This window comes from Homo sapiens, chromosome 1, assembly GCF_000001405.40.
Source record: "Homo sapiens chromosome 1, GRCh38.p14 Primary Assembly".
Classification (NCBI taxonomy): Eukaryota; Metazoa; Chordata; class Mammalia; order Primates; family Hominidae; genus Homo; species Homo sapiens.
This window is the reverse complement of record NC_000001.11, coordinates 31,678,769-31,698,202: the sequence shown is the minus strand read 5'-3', so window position 1 is coordinate 31,698,202 and position 19,434 is coordinate 31,678,769. Positions and strand designations below refer to the sequence as shown.

The 19,434-nt window shown below is 56.6% G+C and overlaps 1 protein-coding gene across 19 annotated transcripts in view, besides 3 other annotated features; it reads left to right on the top strand.

Moving 5' to 3' along the window:
• COL16A1 (collagen type XVI alpha 1 chain) overlaps window positions 1-19,434 on the top strand; it is a 51,755-nt gene that overhangs the window by 5,815 nt on the left and 26,506 nt on the right. For 5 of the 19 annotated variants that reach the window (XM_017000338.2, XM_011540722.2, NM_001856.4 and 2 more), the window contains exons 6-42: window positions 31-297; window positions 903-983; window positions 1,115-1,240; window positions 2,062-2,115; window positions 2,416-2,442; window positions 2,982-3,017; window positions 4,033-4,059; window positions 5,049-5,111; window positions 5,395-5,436; window positions 5,561-5,605; window positions 5,694-5,729; window positions 6,136-6,198; window positions 6,561-6,605; window positions 6,691-6,786; window positions 6,977-7,015; window positions 7,630-7,674; window positions 7,810-7,836; window positions 8,352-8,462; window positions 9,118-9,153; window positions 9,232-9,342; window positions 9,701-9,736; window positions 11,924-11,959; window positions 12,068-12,112; window positions 12,433-12,564; window positions 13,347-13,382; window positions 13,573-13,680; window positions 13,972-14,094; window positions 14,200-14,253; window positions 14,455-14,496; window positions 14,834-14,869; window positions 14,956-15,009; window positions 15,201-15,269; window positions 17,136-17,180; window positions 17,272-17,298; window positions 18,102-18,161; window positions 18,352-18,399; window positions 18,518-18,571. In XM_017000338.2, the coding sequence (XP_016855827.1) occupies window positions 31-297; window positions 903-983; window positions 1,115-1,240; window positions 2,062-2,115; window positions 2,416-2,442; window positions 2,982-3,017; window positions 4,033-4,059; window positions 5,049-5,111; window positions 5,395-5,436; window positions 5,561-5,605; window positions 5,694-5,729; window positions 6,136-6,198; window positions 6,561-6,605; window positions 6,691-6,786; window positions 6,977-7,015; window positions 7,630-7,674; window positions 7,810-7,836; window positions 8,352-8,462; window positions 9,118-9,153; window positions 9,232-9,342; window positions 9,701-9,736; window positions 11,924-11,959; window positions 12,068-12,112; window positions 12,433-12,564; window positions 13,347-13,382; window positions 13,573-13,680; window positions 13,972-14,094; window positions 14,200-14,253; window positions 14,455-14,496; window positions 14,834-14,869; window positions 14,956-15,009; window positions 15,201-15,269; window positions 17,136-17,180; window positions 17,272-17,298; window positions 18,102-18,161; window positions 18,352-18,399; window positions 18,518-18,571 (2,382 nt within the window). Of the gene's footprint in view, window positions 1-30; window positions 298-902; window positions 984-1,114; window positions 1,241-2,061; window positions 2,116-2,415; window positions 2,443-2,981; window positions 3,101-4,032; window positions 4,060-5,048; window positions 5,112-5,394; window positions 5,437-5,560; window positions 5,606-5,693; window positions 5,730-6,135; window positions 6,199-6,560; window positions 6,606-6,690; window positions 6,787-6,976; window positions 7,016-7,629; window positions 7,675-7,809; window positions 7,837-8,351; window positions 8,463-8,518; window positions 8,743-9,117; window positions 9,154-9,231; window positions 9,343-9,700; window positions 9,737-10,086; window positions 10,167-11,923; window positions 11,960-12,067; window positions 12,113-12,432; window positions 12,565-13,346; window positions 13,383-13,572; window positions 13,681-13,971; window positions 14,095-14,199; window positions 14,254-14,454; window positions 14,497-14,833; window positions 14,870-14,955; window positions 15,010-15,200; window positions 15,270-17,135; window positions 17,181-17,271; window positions 17,299-18,101; window positions 18,162-18,351; window positions 18,400-18,517; window positions 18,572-19,434 lie in introns of those variants that run through there. The other 14 variants (XM_011540723.2, XM_005270481.2, XM_047446439.1 and 11 more) reach the window with 10 other exon arrangements.
• Window positions 1,232-1,741: an enhancer, noted in NCBI's record as "H3K27ac-H3K4me1 hESC enhancer chr1:32162063-32162572 (GRCh37/hg19 assembly coordinates)". NCBI's record gives its function as "activates a minimal SCP1, AML or CMV promoter by ChIP-STARR-seq in primed H9 embryonic stem cells {active_cell/tissue: H9 hESC(primed)}" and the evidence as "EXISTENCE:reporter gene assay evidence [ECO:0000049][PMID:30033119]".
• Window positions 15,893-16,765: an enhancer, noted in NCBI's record as "H3K4me1 hESC enhancer chr1:32147039-32147911 (GRCh37/hg19 assembly coordinates)". NCBI's record gives its function as "activates a minimal SCP1, AML or CMV promoter by ChIP-STARR-seq in primed H9 embryonic stem cells {active_cell/tissue: H9 hESC(primed)}" and the evidence as "EXISTENCE:reporter gene assay evidence [ECO:0000049][PMID:30033119]".
• Window positions 17,041-18,240: an enhancer, noted in NCBI's record as "CDK7 strongly-dependent group 2 enhancer chr1:32145564-32146763 (GRCh37/hg19 assembly coordinates)". NCBI's record gives its function as "activates an origin of replication core promoter dependent on BRD2, BRD4, P300/CBP, MED14 and CDK7 cofactors, with strong dependence on CDK7, by STARR-seq in HCT116 cells {active_cell/tissue: HCT116}" and the evidence as "EXISTENCE:reporter gene assay evidence [ECO:0000049][PMID:35650434]".

The window sequence follows — 19,434 nt, the reverse complement described above, 5'->3', positions numbered from 1 at the left end:
CTGTCCTTTCCCTTTCCAAATTCTACCCAGATATCCCTGGAAGTCAACAGCCAAGAGCGGAGCCTGGAGCTCAGGGCCCAGGGCCAGGATGGCGACTTTGTGTCCTGCATCTTCCCAGTGCCCCAGCTCTTCGACTTGCGTTGGCACAAGCTGATGCTGAGTGTGGCTGGACGTGTGGCCTCTGTGCACGTGGACTGCAGCTCAGCCTCCTCCCAGCCTCTGGGGCCCCGACGACCCATGAGGCCTGTGGGCCATGTATTTCTAGGCTTGGATGCTGAGCAGGGCAAGCCTGTCTCGGTGAGTGCTAGGTCAGGCCCTGACCTCTGTTCCTGCCTTCTGGGAACCTGAGTGGGCTTCCTGGAATCCGTATCGGAACAAGTCCTTCTCCTGCTTAGAATCTTCCCCTGCTTTCCTGTTGCCCTCCAAATGCAGCCTAAACATATTCACCTGGCATTCAAGGCCCTTCATGATCTGGTCCTTATAAGTGTCTGCAGCACCATCTTCCTTTACATCTCTCCGTGCAGCTCTGCTCTGATCAATTCCATCCTAGCCATCCAGCGCACCCAGTGCTTTCACACTGCCGTGCCTTTGCCTACGCTGTTACCTCCACCTGGAATGCCTTTCCTTGCATACTCATCCGCTGAGTAGCTACCAGCCCTTCAAAGCCCAGCATGAATGGAACCTCCTCCTCTTTTGTTCCTCTGGGCCTCCTCTCCCTCGTTCCTGTGTGCGCAGTTTTGTTCTGCCTTTGGTGACAACTCTATTTTTGATGTCTCCCAGGCCAGACTGGAAACACCCTGAGGTCACATCCTGGGGCAGAGACATCTCTGTGCCTCCTGGGGGGCCAGGACACAGAGCTATTTGATAAAATGAAGTGAAATTGATGTGTGTGTCTCCTGCAGTTTGACCTTCAGCAGGTGCACATCTACTGTGACCCGGAGCTCGTGCTGGAGGAGGGCTGCTGTGAGATTTTACCAGCAGGGGTGAGTGGCCCGGCCCTTGGGCTGCCCAGGGACACACTGTGCTGGAGATGAGGGTCTGGAAGGTGATGCCTGGAGGTCTTAGGAGGAGTCTGCTCCTGTACTGACCCTAGCCCCGCTCTTCCACCAAACAGTGCCCCCCAGAGACCTCCAAGGCCCGCCGGGACACCCAGAGCAATGAGCTCATTGAGATCAATCCACAGTCTGAAGGCAAGGTCTACACCCGCTGCTTCTGCCTGGAGGAGCCTCAAAACAGCGAGGTGGGTGGGCAGGACAGGTGGATGCCAGCACAGGCAGGCACAAGTGAGATACCCCTCCCCTGAGCTGACTGACGTCTGCCACCAGGGTCAGTTGGCCATGGGCCCAGGGCAGGAGGGGCACTGGAAGCCCTCCCTATTTGTACGCCACCCCTAAATGATTCAGGGAGGCAGAGACAGCCCACTGGCCACCACTGGGTGGCCCTGTGCCCACCTACCTATGGGTGTTGAGAGTGGTACCATCTAGCTCTGGCACTGCCTAGACCCTCACGGATGCCATCCAGACTCTTCTGATGAGGGCAGGACCAGGCTTGTCCCTCAAAGCCAGTTTCTCCAGAACAGAGATACCTGGGATCAGAGGTCAGGTCATACTGCTTCCCCCCAGGGATGGCTCACTCTCCTGGGCCCAGCGCCGGCCAGGGCCAGACTGGTTTTACACCCAGCACCATGGCCAGCTGTCTGCCCACTCTCAGGTTCTTTAGAGGTGGCATGGAAGCCTGGTTCCTCCTTTAGCCCCACCCCCTGGCTGGGCACTCTCCCTGCCCGCTCGGGCATCTTGCCCAGCCTTGGGCTGCAGGAACACAGGATCCCATTGATGCATGGTCTTGTTGGCTCTGACATCACATGGGTGGGTGGGGGGGGAAGGAGGGGGACCTGTTGGGGCAGCCACAGGGGCCTGAGCAGGCCCTTGATGCCCCAGGAGGTGCCAGATGCCAGGCTGAAGGATTACCTGGGGCCCATGCCCCCTGCCTGGGTGCCCCTTTCCAGCCTGGACCCCAGAACTTCCCCCTCCTCAAGGGTTTCTCTTTGCTCTGTCTGCCCAGGTGGATGCCCAGCTGACGGGAAGAATCAGCCAGAAGGCAGAAAGGGGAGCAAAGGTAGAGGTGGGGGTGGGGGGAGGAGCCTACCTGCCCTCAGTCTGCCCTCTGTGCCCCTGTAAACCCCAGGGATAAGGTGCTCCACTCCCACTCTCCTCCCGCCTTTCCCACCTCCTGGACAGAGCTTAGGACATGTAGGTGCCAGCTCTGATCAAGAAGGACGGATGGGGGTGAGACAGACGCAGTGCCTGGCACTCTCTAGAGTGCCCACTCCTGTTGGTTTGGGGGTAGGGGTGTTGGAAACAGTGCTCGGCCCCCTGAGCTCCCTGCCCATTCCCACACCCCCCACCCTTTCCTCAGGTCCATCAGGAGACAGCAGCCGATGAGGTAAGCCTCCCAGTGGACTGGCAGCAGGGGAGGTGCCAGCATGAACCCTTTGCACCAGGCTTTGGGCACGGATCCTCAGCATAGGGGTGCTGGCTGACTACACAGCTCCTGGCATTCCTTGAGGGCCTGATGCTGGGCCCTGTCTGTCCACTGCCTCTCGTTGGGTTGGGGGGTAGGTAGCCCTGGAGGACACTCCTGCTGAGTTGGCAGCAAATGGCCACGGGCATCATGGGGAGAGCCCAGCCTTCAGCCACGGTGCCCTTGGATTCTGGGCCGTACTCTGCCCCAGCATGCTGTGTGACCTGGGGCATATTGCTATTCCTCTCTGGGCTTCAGTTTCCCCATCTGAAAAATGGCTGTGGGGCTGGGTGGGTGGGAAATGAGGGGTGAGGCTTGTTTTATAGGATTCCTATCTTCAGGCTCCCCTCAGATTCCACTCAAGATATGTGTGATGTTCTGTGGGCCTGGTGGTGATGGAGGTGGGGAGGGCTCACCCCAGGGGCTCAGAATTGACCTCTTCGCCTGCTCTTCCCTTTCAGTGTCCGCCCTGTGTCCATGGTGCCCGGGACAGCAATGTGAGTGAATGGAGGGTGTGCAGGGTGGAGCGGGCAAGAGCCGGGAGTGGACGTTGCCTAGAGCTGGCTTGGCAGCCTCCTGGGTGAGGACAAGGGGGTCTTTGTACACTTTCACACTCGCTCCCTGCCCATCTCCCAGAGCCGGGCTTAACCCCCACTGCCATCTCCACCAAGCCAGGACTGTGTGGAAGAAAGCCTGTGACCTGCCTTGTCATCTGCAGTGTGTTCGGGTTCAGGGCATGGGCACGGGATGGTGGCCGGCAGGACCAGCGCCTTGGTTGCTGATCGCAGCTTTGCACTCCCTGCAAGTTCTCCCCCTGCCCTGGTGGAGGCTTCCTTCATTCTCCTGGAGGCCTAGAGAAGGGGAAGAGCTGGCTCAGCACGGCAAGGGCTCCCACAGCGTTGGTTCAGGGCCTGCTGTCTCTTTCTAGCTGGCCCTGGTCCAGCCTTCCTATGGGGGTCCAGAAGGGCAAGGAGAGGGGCTCAGTGTGAGCCCAGCTGGCACCCAACTGTGCCTCTTCCATAGGCAGCATGAGTCACCATTTTTCTGGGGCCTAACATTCTGAGTTGACCTGCCACATTGGTCCACCAAGGGCACAACCCCAGCTCCCCTCAGCTCTAAGCCCCCTGACTTTGGGGGACATCAGGAGTACCTCCTAGGCTCCCTGCTCCCTCTTTCAATCCAGTCCCCCACCAAATCTGTTAAGACTGATGGTCCCCAGATGTGCAGAGGTTACCATGGAAACCAAGCAGCCATGTTATCCCAGCAACTGGGAGGCGGAGCTAACCAAAGCCAGGCAGTTTAGAGGAGGTAGGTTAGACCCTCTGCAAATGTTACAGGCTGAGGAAATGGAATCGGCTTGCTAGTTTGCCTGGGAAGCAGAGCAGGGGCTGGGATACAGGCTGCTGGTCCTGCTACCATGCTGTGTGACCCTGTCTAAATTGCTTGACTTCTCTGGGCCCCTGGTTTTCTCTCTCTACCGGAAGTGTGATGCCCTCTCCTCTGTCCCCTCAGGTCACACTTGCTCCCTCTGGCCCCAAGGTGAGTCCTAATGGAGAACGGGACATTCCCGTCCTCTTTAGCATCCCCAGCCATTCCCACAGCATGTGACCCTGTGGCTGTGTGTTTCTATCAGGGCCACCTGAGCCTGTATGTGTGTAGGGTGATTAAGTGTATGCGTGGTAAAGAAAGCAGGGGTTTGTGTGTGTGCAAAGATGCTAAGAGCTGCCCTTTTCTGAGGCCCTTCTGTGCACCAGGCCTTAGGCCACACCTATGCACACTTATTACCCTTTTGAACCCTCTCAATAGTCAGCCTGCAGGGTGGGTGCTATCATTTTACTTCAGGGGAAACTGAGGCCCAGCTGTGCCCACATATGTCTGACAGGGTGTGTTAGAATGATTATGTGTGGGTGTGGCTACATGCATCTCTGGGACACATGTTTGCATATGTGTGGCACACGAAGGCTGGAGTTGAACCCATATACCTGTGGGCCTAACGAGGCTGCAGAGCTTGTGAGTGATGGGGAGCGAAGCTATGCAACTGTGAGTTGTGCTTGTGTGTGCTCGTCAATACCGTTTTATTGATGAAGAAACTGAGGCTCAGAAAGGCGACATGACCTGCTCTGAGTGACATGCTAGCAAGTACAGGATTTGAAGTCAGGCAGCCTGACACTCAGCCAGCATGGGTTTCTGCCACCGTGCATGTGTGTGTCCATATGCCTCCGGCTGTGCTGTGTGTGAGCTGATGTGCTTGGGTACGGGTGTGGGGGATGGGATACCCCCCTGCTTGAGACTGTAGATTTGCCAAATATAGCATCTTGGGGTGGGAGGGCATGTGGATGAACAGGTGTGGAATCCATATGCTTGTGTGTGGTGGGGGGAGGCGTGGGGCAGGACACTGCTCACATGTGTGCGTATTTGCGTACCCGTGTGTGGGGGGATGGGTGGAGGGGGCCAGAAGTGGGGAGAGCTTTCTCAAGGCTCCCATGTGCCCCCTCTGGTCCTATCTTCCATTCTGGTTTCACTCTCAGGGAGGGAAAGGTGAGCGGGGCCTGCCTGGTCCACCAGGCTCCAAGGGAGAGAAGGGAGCACGGGTAAGTGTCCCAGCCCTGCCCGTGGCAGGACCTTTGCCAGCTGTGCCCTGGGGTGAGGTGGGATGTGAGCCATCATCCCATCATCCCGGCAGAAAGCCTGCAGCTTGGCCCAGATCACGGGAGGGGGGTGAGGGCCAGGGTCTTTCTAGGGGTTTGGGTGTAGAAGCCCCCCTTTTCTAGGGATACTTAGGACTATGGGGTTCCCGGGCCGATCCTCCTCACAACACATCTAGGGGACTTCCCCAGGAGTTCCCACCCCTGATCCCTTGTTCCCTACTCCCAGGGCAATGACTGTGTTCGAATCTCCCCGGATGCCCCACTTCAGGTAAGACTTGGAGGTGATGCCTGCTTCAGGGCCAATATGGGGCCAGCCCCTGGGGAGGGACTGTGCGCTTGGCAGCCCATCAGGTGACCCTCTGCCCCTCTCAACACTGTGTTCCCCTGTTCAGTGTGCAGAAGGCCCGAAGGGAGAGAAGGGGGAGTCAGGAGCTCTGGTGAGTGTGGGACCAGGGATAGGGCAGGGATGGTGGGTCCAGGGCCCAGCCTTACCCTCCCTTCCTCTGTCTCCCTTCCTCATCTCAGGGACCCTCAGGACTCCCAGGCTCAACAGGCGAGAAGGTAACAAGCCTGGATTTGGAGGGGGGATTTCCAGGGAGGTCTGCAGGCTCTACAGCCATGAGGAAGGAGGAGTCGGGGTTCTCTGAGGAGAGGGTGTCAGTGGGCACAGAGCTGGCAGGACCCTCCCTCCCCCATCTCCCCCACCCCAGTCACCCTGCCTCGTCCAAATACCCAGCCGACCTAGAGGGAAATGCCACAGATTCCCCCAGTAAGTGGCCTGGCTGGTTTGGAAGTTCTACCTGTTGTCTGGTCTGTTGTCTACCCTCCCGTGGTGATTGAAGCCATTCACCCTCAGGGGAGACAGAGACCAGGGGTCTAGAAGGCAGTTGTCCCTCCACCAGATGGAGCTGCCCAGCTGTCCCAGGCCCTTCCCTCATCCTGGTCACTCTGCTTCTTCCTTCCCCAGGGCCAGAAAGGCGAGAAGGGCGACGGAGGCATCAAGGGCGTGCCGGGAAAGCCAGGCCGGGACGTAGGTGCCTGGGACCCTTCCCCACCACAACCCACAGCACGGGGTCTGAGAATGCTGGGATTTAACCTTCGGGAATCCAGCCCCCTCCCCTTGCTCAGACAGGGTGGGGAGGGGCTGTGCCACAGGAGGCACAGCAAGAAGGGGACAGAAAAGGACCTGAGCCCAGGCCCCCTCACTCCCAGCCTCAGAGCCCCGAACCTCTAACACCATAAGGTTGACATGTGCTGACCTTGGGGCACCAGGGTGGGCTCTGGTTTGGGGGAGGGGCAGGGAGGGTGGGACAGGTGGGCATTCACCTCTCCCAGTGGGGCGGTGCCAGGCCTCAGGGCTGTTTGTACACCCTCCCCCTTATCCCCCCACAGGGCCGGCCAGGAGAGATCTGTGTCATTGGGCCCAAAGGGCAGAAGGTGAGTTGTGGATGTTTGTGGGGTGGAGATGGGGTGGCAGGGCTGGGGTGGCAGCTCTCTGATGCCCACCTTATGTCTGTGCCAGGGAGACCCTGGCTTTGTTGGGCCTGAGGGGCTGGCAGGAGAGCCTGGGCCCCCCGGCCTCCCTGGACCCCCTGGGATAGGACTGCCTGGGACCCCGGTGAGTACCCCCTTGCTTCTCCTGCTGTGCTTTTCTCAGAGACCGCTCTCCCACCCTGGCCAGGGAATGAACGGGGGGAAGATAAGGCTCTGTCCCAGGGATCCTGGCTGGAGGAGAGGGTGAGGGTAGAAGATCTCGCTGTAGCGAGTGGTCCCTGGAAACTTCCACGTGACTCTGTTTCTGCCCTCAGGGGGATCCAGGTGGCCCACCAGGCCCCAAGGGAGACAAGGTGAGCATAGGTGGGAGTGTGGTCACGTGGGGAGCTCCATGCTTGACAGGAGGAGAGAGAAGGGGCCGGGGCAGCTTCCCACAGGGGAAGCAAGTCCCAGGGAGGAGGCCGGGCCTTTGGAGGAGGAGGCTGGGCTCGGCTTGGCCAGGCCCCTTGGCGGGGAGCGTCCTGTCCCCATCCCAGTGCTCACTGAGCTGCTCACTGCAACCTCCGCCTGTGTTCCAGGTATAGGGATGGGCAGACCTAAGTGTTGTAAAGATCAAAGTGGACTTTGCTGGAGGGCCCAAGCTCATTTTAGAGCCTTGTGCCTGGATGTGCAGAAAGCTCTGGAAATTTCTGTCTGTGACTGCTGGGGTCACGCGGATCACCTCTTAACCTGTGCACCAGTGAAGGGGCACACAGAAGCTTCATTTTCTCCCTTCCTTTGAAACCTAGAATGGCTTGGGTTAGACACGGAGGGCAGGCAACAGGAACCGACCGAATGGAACAAATGGCAACAAGAGATTTGGCAACGATTGTTCTGCCATCACAGAGGGGCACGGGTGGGGAAGGGGGAACGCACCGAGATTGCATTGGCCAGAAGGCTCCCCGCTTATCCTTTCTTCTGACCACAGGGCAGCTCGGGGATCCCAGGAAAGGAAGGCCCTGGTGGGAAACCTGTGAGTGACACCAATCCAGCGGGGGAGGGTCGGCTCTTCCAAGGCCTCTGGAGGGAGGGGCTAGGTCCTCCGGCCCTCAGTTGGCACACCAGCCCTCTGCCCTGGCACTGATGCCCATTGCCTCTTTTCTAACAGGGGAAGCCAGGTGTGAAGGGAGAGAAGGTGAGTCCTAGGCCTGGCTGCCCAGATCGGGGTGGGAACGGGACCCCCTTTCTGCACATGACAGTGAGCATCAAGGGCCCTAGGCCTAGGGGTGCTGGACCTTCCTCAGGGGACCCCCACCCGTTCTTCCTCTGATGTCCATGTGCAGTGAGTACATAAAGAACCTGGCTTAGGGGTGAGCTGGGTTCAAACTCTGCCTCCACCACACACATGGTTATGAATGTGCCAGATCAATTAGCTTCTCTCTTAGCCCAAGTTTCCATGTCTGTCAGTGGGGCACAGTCATGTTTTAAGGCTTACGGCGAGGATGTAGTTTTGCGCCACCCTGGAATCTTGTGGTGAATGAATGAGTCAGTTGAACAGGAAGCCCCAGCGGCATTCCTGCTGTCCACTTTGATGTTGGGGGTGGGGCTCTGGTGGACCCAATGTCTAGGGCTGGTCTGCGCAAGAGGCCCCTTGCCTTCCCTGGGGTCTCAGCCCCACCCTGTCCACATACTGCCTCTCCCTTCTGCTAGGGTGACCCCTGTGAAGTGTGCCCAACACTGCCTGAAGGGTTCCAGAACTTTGTTGGACTTCCTGGAAAGCCAGGGCCCAAAGGGGAGCCTGGTGATCCTGTACCAGCCAGGGTGAGTGCCCAGGGTGACCATTGAGGGACCTCCCCCAACACACAAAGAAACCTGGGGACATGATCATAGAGAGGAATTGGGCAGAGGGGCTGGGTACTTCTCGTGGCTACAGAGAGATTATGGGCAGAGAGTCTAGGCTCTTACTGTGGTAAGGGGTCTGAACCATAGAACTCAGGGCTGGGCTAGAGTGCCACCTCCGGTCTCCATGGCAACCTCCCAGGGCTTTCCAGGAGACTCTAGGGTGCCTTTTGGGCAAGCTGGGCTGGAGCCCACCCTTACTGTGAGTGAGGCTGTGTCCTAGGATTGGGTATGTTTTGGGGGTGGAGGAAAGGAGTGAGCAGGACTGGGTTAGCCCCCTCTCTCACAGACCCCCTCTTTCAGGAGCACCTGGGAGCTGTCAGACAAAAAGGTGATTGGGTATATGCAGGAACTTCCCACTGGGTTAGCTTAACCTGGCGTCATTCCCCCCGCCACGCTCCTGCTTGTTATGTGGGTTGATGAACCCTGCCTCTGGGGTGCTGGCCTTGGACCCCATGGGACCCCTAGGTGTTTGGACGGTTTGCGTGTGTGACATTGCTGTCCTCGCATATTGCCAGGGAGTTTGGGGGTGCCCCATCGTGCCCTGCCTCAGCCCACAAACCTTTTTACCCTGCAGGGAGACCCTGGCATCCAAGGCATCAAAGGAGAGAAGGTGAGGGAACCCTGCTCTCCTGGCTGCCCTCCTCTGCCTACCTGGAAGCATTTCTGATCCTTCCTCTTCTTTCCCCAGGGGGAGCCCTGCTTGTCCTGCAGCTCGGTTGTAGGGGCCCAGCATCTTGTGTCCTCCACAGGGGCCAGTGGAGATGTGGGTTCCCCTGGCTTTGGTCTGCCTGGCCTTCCGGTGAGTGACGACTTTCTCCCAGCCCAGCCCAGTTCAGCCATCCTTGCCATACTGTTGATCTCCCTGGCTTTTCAGATCCCAAGTCTCAGGGCAGGGATCAGGAGGGAGGGGAAGAGGCAGGTGTCCCAGGCCTGTCTCCTGGTCCCTCCCTCCGTCCCTGTGCTGCCCCAGGCTCCTTGCCCTGGAACTTCCTCTTAGCACCTCTAGCTTCAGTTGTCTAACTGAAGAAACTGTCCAGCTACCTGAAGGACATAATTCCTATCTTACCGTTCTGTTTCTGGTTGGACACTGGGACCCGGGGAGCCTTGGAGAGGTGGGAGTGGGGAGATGCTGAGACTCTGTCTTGGTTGTTTTTCAGGGTAGAGCTGGGGTTCCAGGGCTGAAAGGAGAGAAGGTGAGACCTGGGTTAGATGTCAGGGACACTGGAGTTTCTTGGCAGGCAGGCAGGGGAGGAGTGGTGCGGGCGGGGAATAAGGGTAATATAAACAAGAGATTCAGACGGTAAATTCACAGTGAAATTAATTTACTAGTGTTTTGCAGACTTGAGTCAAAGAATTTATTTCTGAGAGCCCTCATGTTCTGTAAGAGAATTCCTTAGTGTAGCTGTGATGATATTCTAAAACTATTAAGCACATTCAAGATTACCTTATTATATTTATAATATGTAACACTTCTTTATTGCTTATGATGTGCCGGGCACTATTCCAAATCTTGTAAGTATATTCACTTGTTTTGTCCTCCCAGAGTTTATGGGGTATGTGCTCCATTATTCCCATTTCACAGATGAGGAAACGGAGGCACACAAAGGCCAAGTAAATTGCCAGGTGATTGGATGCAGAGCTGGGATTGAGCCCAGGAAGCCTGGCTCCAGAGACTGTAATCTTCACTACGCCTGTGGGTCACTCAATTTCAGTGCCTGTGTTAACGTATCTATTTATGATTGCATTGGAGACAAATGGCAGGCTTGAACTTCTAATGCAGTGTTACCCAAATGTTACCCAAATTCTGTGGGTGTACGAGTGCTCAAGTGTGAGAAACACTGAAGTATGTGTGCAGACTCAACCCTAACAGGGGAAGCCCACATGTCACATCACATGTGGGGCCTTTGCACCCCCACCCCACCTGCCGCCTCTTCCCAGCTTCCCCATCTCAGTCATCAGCTCACAGCCAGCCCCTCAAAGCCCAGCCTTGCGGTCGTCCTCAGATCCTTCACTCCTGACGCTGCCCCCTCCCTCTAGCCCCCCAGCGAGTCCTGACAGTTCTGCCCATGATGGCTCTCTCACCCCCTCCACTTCTCTCCACGCCCACCACTGCCATAGTAATCTGCGTCCCCATGGCCTCTCTCCTGCATGGTGGAACCTCCTCTGGCCTGCCCGTGGCCACTGTAGCCCTGCAGCAGTCCGGTTTTCACCTGGTAGTTTTTCGTGTGTGTGTGTGTGTGTGTGTCTGTGCGTTGTTGGTTTTTTTTTTTTTTTTTTTGAGACTGAGTCTCACTCTGTTGCCCAGGCTGGAGTGCAGTGGTGTGATCTCTGCTCACTGCAACCTCCACCTCCCAGGTTCAAGTGATTCTCCTGCCTCAGCCTCCCAATTAGCTGGGATTACAGGCGTGCACCACCACACTCAGCTAATTTTTGTAGTTTTAGTAGAGACGGGGTTTTGCCATGTTGGCCAGGCTGGTCTCAAATTCCTGACCTCAAGCGATCTACCCTCCTTGGCCTCCCAAAATGCTGGGATTACAGGCGTGAGCCATCGTGCCCAGCCTTCACCCGGTAGTTTAATGTGGCTTTGTAGAAGAATCAGTATTTCCCTCCTTAGAGTCCCTCTGTGACTTACTTTCTAACATAGCTCCACTGTATCTCACAGGACCCCGGATGCCCCAGCCCCCATCCTTCCCAAATTCATCCGCTTCTTCCCCTTCTCTTCGGGTTTACTCTGCTTTAGCCGTGCGGATCTTCTTTCCATTATGGAATATGTCCGGACTACTCCCACCCGTCAGATTTTGTACTTGTGGTTCCCACTAGAAGCATCCAGAATGTTTTTCCTCTCTACCCTCCCCCATTCTTTCATTGGATGACCTTATTCTCATTCTTCTGGTAATAATCAGGGTTAACACCTCTCTGACCACCTCCACTTACTCTGTCTCATCACCTTGTTGATTTCCTTCATAGTACTCACCACTGTTTAAAATGATGATTTAGAAAGTTCTGCGTGTGCAAGCTCAACAGGCATTGCTGTTTGTCCTGCTCACTGCTGTCTACCCAGTGCCTCAGCCCAGTGCTCCGCCTGTAAAGGTGTCCAATGAAAGGCTGTTGGAAAAATGCCTTCGTGATTTTTGTGTGCTGAGACATGGCTGAGGGTGGGCTGGATTCCATGAGGTGAAGCTGGGGGCAGAAATAGGGCTTCTAGCCCCTGGCTGGTTACAGACTCCCTTGGGGACCTTGGAGAAAGCCCTCTTCCTCTCTGGACATGAGAGGGTAGTCTGGACATCTGAAGGGGTTGCTTTTACAGTTTTGGGTTTGGGATTGCTCTAGCACCCAGACTCCATCCCCTCTTTAATCATGGTTTCTGTGCTTTCTCTCAGGGTAACTTCGGGGAGGCAGGGCCAGCTGGCAGTCCAGTAAGTATGTTTTGGATGGCAACAGCTTGGGAGAGGACAAGGTGGGAGGGGCTGATAGGCATGGCCCTGGCAGATGCTGGGCATTACCTGTAGCGTCTTAACATGCAGGGGCCACCAGGACCAGTGGGGCCAGCAGGCATCAAAGGGGCGAAGGTGAGTCTGGGGACATTCTCCGTGCTGCAGCCTGGGTGAGCTTCCTAGATAGACACTCGTCTTGCTCGACTTCGAACCCTCTGGGGCTCCTTGCTGTCTGTCGGGCAGAGTCTGACTCCTTAGCAAGGCATGGAGACCCCTGATGACTCAGCTCCACCTTTGTTTCTTTCCTGTTCTCCCTTCATCTTTCCCAAGATAACCCCTCACCCAGCAGAGGTGCAGTGTCAGACCCAGTGACATTCCCCAGCCCTAGATTCCAAACCTCGCTCAAGTGCACTAGGGCCTGGGGGACCCCCTAACTCAATGTCCTTGCTTGGCAGGGGGAGCCCTGTGAGCCGTGCCCAGCCCTGTCCAACCTTCAGGATGGGGATGTCCGTGTGGTGGCCTTGCCTGGCCCATCCGGAGAGAAGGGGGAACCTGGGCCTCCAGGCTTTGGCTTGCCAGGAAAACAGGTGAGGTGGGATATAGGCAGGGGCCTCTGGACGGGGGATGCAGGCGGGGCTAAGGAGAGGGGAGGGGTCCTGCCTGGGTCTCTTGACTCCCTGGGCAGTTGGGGGTAGTGGGGAGGGTGTGGCGGGGTCAGAGCCTCTGTCTCCAGCAGGAGCGGCCCTCACAGGTCTCTGCCCTTTATCCTGGGACAGAGTATGGCAGAGTGGGCAGAAAGCACGCCATCCTAGGAGCAGAGAGACCTGGGTTCCAATCTTAGCTTTGCTTCTTACTAAGTCTTTGACTTGAGCAAGTCACCTTCTCTCCACCTCTGTTTCCTGCACAGAGTAAAGCCTAGTAATGGCGTGTGTGAAGTGCTTAGTGGTACACCATGGGCACTGGGGAAATGGCAGTTACCACTGTGGTTATTATCACTGTTACTGCTTTCACAGTAACGGCCAGCACTACCACAGTGGACACTATGTGCCAGGCACTGCTGCACACGACATATTAGCTTGTCTAACCTCACAGGATCCCTACAGGGCAGAAGCCTATACTATTTTTATCATCCCCATTTGACAGCTGAAGAAACTGAGGTACGGAGATAGATGAGCTAATTTGCTCATGTCACCCAGGCAAAGAGTCTGGCACAAATCTTTGCTCTGCACCTGGGCAAGATTGCTTCACTAGCACGAAAGCAGAGATTTTGTTTGTTTGTTTACTGTTGTATGCCCCAGCCTGATGTGGTGCCGGGCACTTTGGGGTGGCTGGTATGAGTGAGCGGGTGCTGGAAATGCTTTCTCCTCAGGGCAAGGCTGGAGAGCGTGGACTGAAGGGGCAGAAGGTGAGAGGGCGTCCGTGGGCACGGGGGTGGGCATGGCATCATCTCAGATCCCCTCCTTGCCTCATTTTCCTCCCTCCCTAGCCCCCAACCCTCAGCCCCGGCAAAGGAGTGTGAGTGCCTGCGAGTCCCAGGGGGGCAACCTGCCCCCGGCTGGGCCATCCTTGCTTTCCTTGAACCCCACTCCTTACAGGGTGATGCTGGGAATCCTGGAGACCCTGGAACGCCGGGCACCACAGGGCGGCCAGGACTGTCAGGAGAGCCTGGAGTTCAGGGCCCCGCGGGGCCAAAAGGAGAAAAGGTTAGTCAGGCGGGGTGGTTGGGGTCGGGGAGTTTGTTGCATAAAAAAAATCAGGTGTCGCACCAGTGAGGGAAGGACTGCAGGGCCAGCTGGGGCCTTAACGGCTGTCAGAGTCACTGAGCGGAGGCTCCTCGGGGCTTCTCCTCTGCTAGGAGTGTCAGGGGCCTGTTTTGATTTCCCAGGCTGACGTGGGAGCATTCAAGGGGCAGAGTGTTCAGAGGGGTGCAGGGCGTCCTGGCCTGGGTGCCAGCCCCGGCTCATGGGCTCCTGGCTGTACCCATCTCTGACCAGGGTGATGGCTGCACTGCCTGCCCCAGCCTGCAGGGGACAGTGACAGACATGGCAGGACGGCCTGGGCAGCCCGGCCCCAAAGGAGAGCAGGGCCCCGAAGGCGTGGGCCGACCTGGTAAACCCGTGAGTTGCCTGCCCTCCGGCCCTTCCCTGCCTGGGCTTTGCCTCCTCTCCCTCCTGTCCCCCTTTCTCCTGTGGGGACTCCATGGGCCACCTTATGCCTTTTAGGGCCAACCCGGTCTACCAGGAGTTCAAGGGCCCCCAGGACTGAAGGGCGTGCAGGTATGTGTGAGTCTTGGGGCCCTGGGCCGTAGCTACGTGAGGGCAGGGGTGGGATAGGGAGATCCATGGGGGCAGTGGGCCTGGAGTGGGAAATGGAGGCAGGGTGCAGGGCAGGAAGAAGCTGGAGGAGAAGGGGCTGGGGAGAAGGGGAAAGGGTGACTGGGGAACCTCGAGCCAGGGACTGTCCTTCTGCCTCTTCAGGGAGAGCCAGGGCCTCCAGGAAGGGGAGTCCAGGGACCCCAGGTGAGTCTCTAGCCCTGCCTTTGCCTGTCCTCTCAGCACTTCCATTAGCCAGCTACCTACTTCCATCCACTCCCAAACTTCAGGGCTCTGCCTGCCCCCAGAGGCACAGGACTTAGTTCTGGGACCAGGGATCAGGCCGCAGCCCTGGCCTGCTGTTGCTTCTGTCAGGGACTTGCCTTTGACCCCAGCCTCTCTGACCCTCAGGGTCTCCTTGGGGAGCTCTTCTGAATTTGGGCTGGCAGATACCCCACCCAGACCAGGTCTGCCGGTGCGGCAGGGCCAGTGGGGCAGGTTGGCTGTGGCTGCTGTGCCCTAGTCTGCCCTTTCTGACTTGCAGGGGGAGCCTGGAGCCCCGGGTTTGCCTGGCATTCAGGTACGTCTGCCTGAGTCCTGAAGGAGGATAGCAGGGGAGGGGGCCATTCTAGGATATGGGTTAACTAACTGTGCTTCCATCTGCAGGGACTTCCGGGACCTCGGGGACCACCTGGCCCCACTGGAGAGAAGGGTGCCCAGGTGAGCCTCTGCCTCCATGGGTATTGGGCCTGCAGTATTCCAGAGTGTCCCAGAAGCAGGCACAGGGGACATGGGGGCCAAGTGATGCCTATCAGAGGGCTGCCTAAGATCTGTTGAGATGTGTCTTACCTGCTGGGTTGTAGCTGGCTTCCAATTCTGCCCCTGAGACCTTTGTACCTTCTCTTACACAGGGATCTCCAGGGGTGAAAGGAGCCACCGGACCTGTGGGACCTCCTGGGGCCAGTGTCTCTGGGCCTCCGGTAAGTCTTCTCTGTGCTCCATGCTGGTGGTGTTGCTGGAACCAAGGATGTTTCTGCTGGGAAGAGGGCACAGGGCTGACCCTGCCCATCCCAGCAGCACAGGGGATGGGAGGAGAGAGGCCTCAGCCCAGCCTCAGACAAGGAAAACCTCACTCTTTTAGGGGAATGCTTGAATAATACAATAATGATCACCACCATTTTTTGAGCAGTGATCATGCTGAGGCCCTGTGCTAAGCTCTAAACACAGAAATTCATGTCATCCTCACATCAGCCCTGTAAGGGAACTCACTTCATAGATCAGGAAGTTGAAGGCCAGAGGGTGAGGAGGCAGAGCCAGGGACTTCAACCTAGGCCTGTCTGACTCAAACCAAAGCCCATCCCCAGTCATTAGGGACATGTGAACCGGTGCTGCCCAGTACAACTGTCTATGAGGATGGAAACGCTGTGTTCTGCACAACCACAGGTGGCTGTTGAGTGCACCTGAAATGTGGCTAGTGTGACTGAGGAACTCAATTTTAAGTGACATTTAATTTTAATTAATTTAAATTTAAATAGCCCCATGTGGCTATGGACTACTGTATCAGACGGCACAGATCCAGACCAGCAACTACTTCCAGTATAATTGGAAAGACCTTCCCTTTGTACTATTCACCCAGTGGCTCCCACGTTTTAAGAGACATGTCTATTGAACAAATTGCACGGATTAAGTAATCATAAGTGCATTTTCTCATTTTTAATCATCAAAGACCTGTATAGTCGTCAGCTTCTACTCCACATGAACCCGCTAGAATTTTACCAGATAATCTAATTGCAGCCAAAATCAAAGGCATGCTACCTTTCAGCCAGTCTGTTCCATGCCAGGCGGTGGGCAAATGCGTAATTTGTCTTGGGCTTTTGGTAATGTTAAAAATAGCCCAGGTGAACTGTATCCTCTTCTGTCTTTGCGGATCCCTGGAGAAATTCTAGTTCCAGTTTGGGATTCACTGATAGGAGAGTGCACCAACGTCCAAAGCAGGCAGGGACTCGCCCAAGCCCACACAGCCGGTCTCTATTGTCCCTCAGAGCTGGACAGCCAGGGTTCCTGCCTGTCCCAGGGAGCCCCAGGCAAAAGGAGAGATGTGGGCCAGGTCCTCAGGGGCTTCAAGTCCCACGTGTGAAGGTGGCGGAGCCCACATGAAGGAGCTATGAGCACAGAGCTACGAGCCTCTGCGTGGCCAGGCTGGCTTCTCCTGGCCTGAGCAGACTCCATGCCGTTGCCCAAACTGCTTTCCTTTTCAGGAGAACGTTCCAGACCTCTACTCATGCTGAATTCCATCCAGCAGGCTTCCCTTCCTCAGCCCCACACTCGCTAGGGGCGTGACCCTAGGCAAGTGACAGCTTCTCAAAGTCTCCAATTTCTTGGAGGGGCTGAAATCCCTTTCTCCCAGTTAGGTCAACAGATGTAACTTTTGTGATAGGGAGAAAGTGTATCAAGCACTAAAGGGAGAGAGGAGAGAGCAGAGACTTCAGGCTACACACGCCTGGCTGCAGCTGGCTGTTGGGTCTGTCATGAAGTTTCTTCAGGGCTCAGTTTCCACACCTGAAAACCAGAACAATACCGTCCTGCCGGGCTGGGAGAGCGGATTCCATTCAGTGTTCCCCGACGGGTACTTGGCCCAGTGGCTGGCACTGAGACGTGCTCAGGAAATGCCAGTCTTCTTCCTTGTCCGGCACCTCAGTCTCCTCCTCTGGAACGTGGGCCCTCGGCCCTGGGCTCCAGGGGAACCTGGCGCTGCTTCTGTTTGTCCTACACCCCTTTTCTGCAGCAGGCCAGATGGCTGGCCGCTGCCCAGTCTCACCCTCTGACTCTGGGCTCTCTCTCTTCAGGGCCGTGATGGGCAGCAAGGACAGACGGGACTCAGAGGAACACCAGTGAGTACAGTGCCTTGGGGCAGCAGGAAGCCATGGCCGGCCCTGCCTCGGCACCCCTATCTGCTCACCTTCCTGTGTTTCTTCCCTGCAGGGTGAAAAAGGACCACGAGGAGAGAAGGTGAGTTCCAAGGGCCTGTGACCCATATTCTAGGGGATTAGCAGCCCCTCCAGCCTTCCCACCTGTGACCCGTACTCTGGGGGATTAGCAGCCCCTCCAGCCTTCCCACCATGAACCAGGGGAGCCTGTGCACATGAAGCTGCCTTGGACTGGAGGATGGGGGTGGAGGAGGCATCCTGGGCTCCTTGCTACCCCCAGCTTTCTGGTTTCAGGGGCTCCACGTATCCCCAGCTTCACCTGGTTGCTGGCCTGGGACTCAACCAGGATTATGGGAGACTGGAAAACTCCAAGGCCCCCTTAGGAGGGCAGCTGCATTTTCAAATGGGGGCTGAGTCAGAGGATGGGGCAGGAAGTGAGCTGGAAAGGACTAGTGGTGAGAGGGCAGAGAGGTGAGGGGCTCCCGAGCGAAGGGCATGGAAGCCAGGCTGGGCCCAGAGGAGTGGGGCTGCAGTTGTACTGAAAGCGAGATTACCTGCGTGGCAGCAGAGAAGGTTATAACTGACGACTGTAACAGCAGGACCATCGTTTGCTGAATAATCACCATGCGACAGGACCCCTGCATACACGAATCCATTTTGTCCTCCTGAGACTCCATGCGCTTGGAATTATTGTTCCCATTTTACAGGCGAGGAGGCTGAGGTGCAGAGAGTTTGAACAGGTTGCCTAAGGGCACATTAGAAGAGGCAGATCCTGGATTGAAACCCTGGCCTCTCCATCTCTAGAGCCCACGTGCCTCTCGGATGTCCATTTCAAGAGAGCCCTTCGTCTTCATCCATGTCTCACAAAGGCTCTTGTATTTTCAGGGTGAGCCAGGGGAGTGCTCCTGCCCCTCTCAAGGAGACCTCATCTTCTCTGGCATGCCGGTAAGTGGCGCTGTGAGAGCCTTCCCCCAACTGGGGGAGAGGACCAGCTTCAGCCTCGTCTGGTGCCCAGTGTGCAAAGGCCCCGCAGGGCCACGCACCCCAGCCAGCCGCCTCCCCACGCAGCCCCGCGCTTGGTGTAGACGTTGCCTATAACCTCTCCCCTTCTTTTGCGACCCCCACTCCCACCCAGGGTGCTCCGGGACTTTGGATGGGCAGCTCCTGGCAGCCGGGCCCGCAGGTGTGTCGCTTGTCTCCTCTTGTCCGCCAGCGCCCCGCGGCTTGTCCACCCTAAACAGCTGCTCTCGGCCATGGGGCAGAGCTCTCTGCTGGCTCTGACTCTTTTCTCTCTCCCTCAGGGTCCACCAGGTATTCCCGGACCACCAGGCCCCCCTGGAGTACCTGGGCTGCAGGTAAAGGGGGAGAAGAGAATGAGGAGCTTGGGTGGCAGAGCTCATGGGTCAGGATGGCTGCTCCCGGCTGGACCCCAAGGATGCTGCTCCCCCACCCCAAAAACACAGACATGCCATTTCTCACTCCTCTGTTTACCTGCCTCCCAGGGTGGCAAGGAGGGCCCACTGAGCCTCTAGGCCAGGCTCTGCACTCCCAGCACTGTTTCAAGCAATGCACTGTTGCGTCAGCTGTCAGGCACCCACAATCTGGGTCAGATAAAAATCCCTTACCCTGGTACAGAGCCCGGCCCACTGTTTTGGAGTAGCATTCAACACTCATTCATGCAACATGTGTTTTTGCACATTTGCTATTTTCTGGCACTGCTTTAACTGCTGTGAATACAGTAGTGGCTAAAAATAAAAGTCCCTGCCCTCTTGGAGCTTATATTCTAGTAAGAGAGACAGACAATAAGCAAGATAAATAAATAAAATATAGTGTGTTAGAAAGTGATACATACTAAGGAGAATGGTAAAGCAGGGAGTGAGTATAGAAAATGGGATGAGGGCAGGAGAAGTATTTGCAAAATGTACTGAAAAGAAGGTGATGTTTGAATCAAAACTTAAAAGAGATGAGAAGCTGTGAGGGATAGCCTTTGTGGCAGAGAAAACAGCCGGTGCAAAGGCCCAGAGGTGGGATGTGTTTGGGGAATTGCAAGGAAGCCAGAGATAGTGAGGGAAGAGCATTAGGAGCCAAGATCTGTGTGACACTGTGAATAAAGGGTACATTCCAGAGGCAGGCAGCCTGAACTTGAATCCCGGCTCTGCCATGTGCTAGCTGTGTGACGGTAGGCAAGTTCCTTAACCTCTCTGTGTCTCACTGCCCT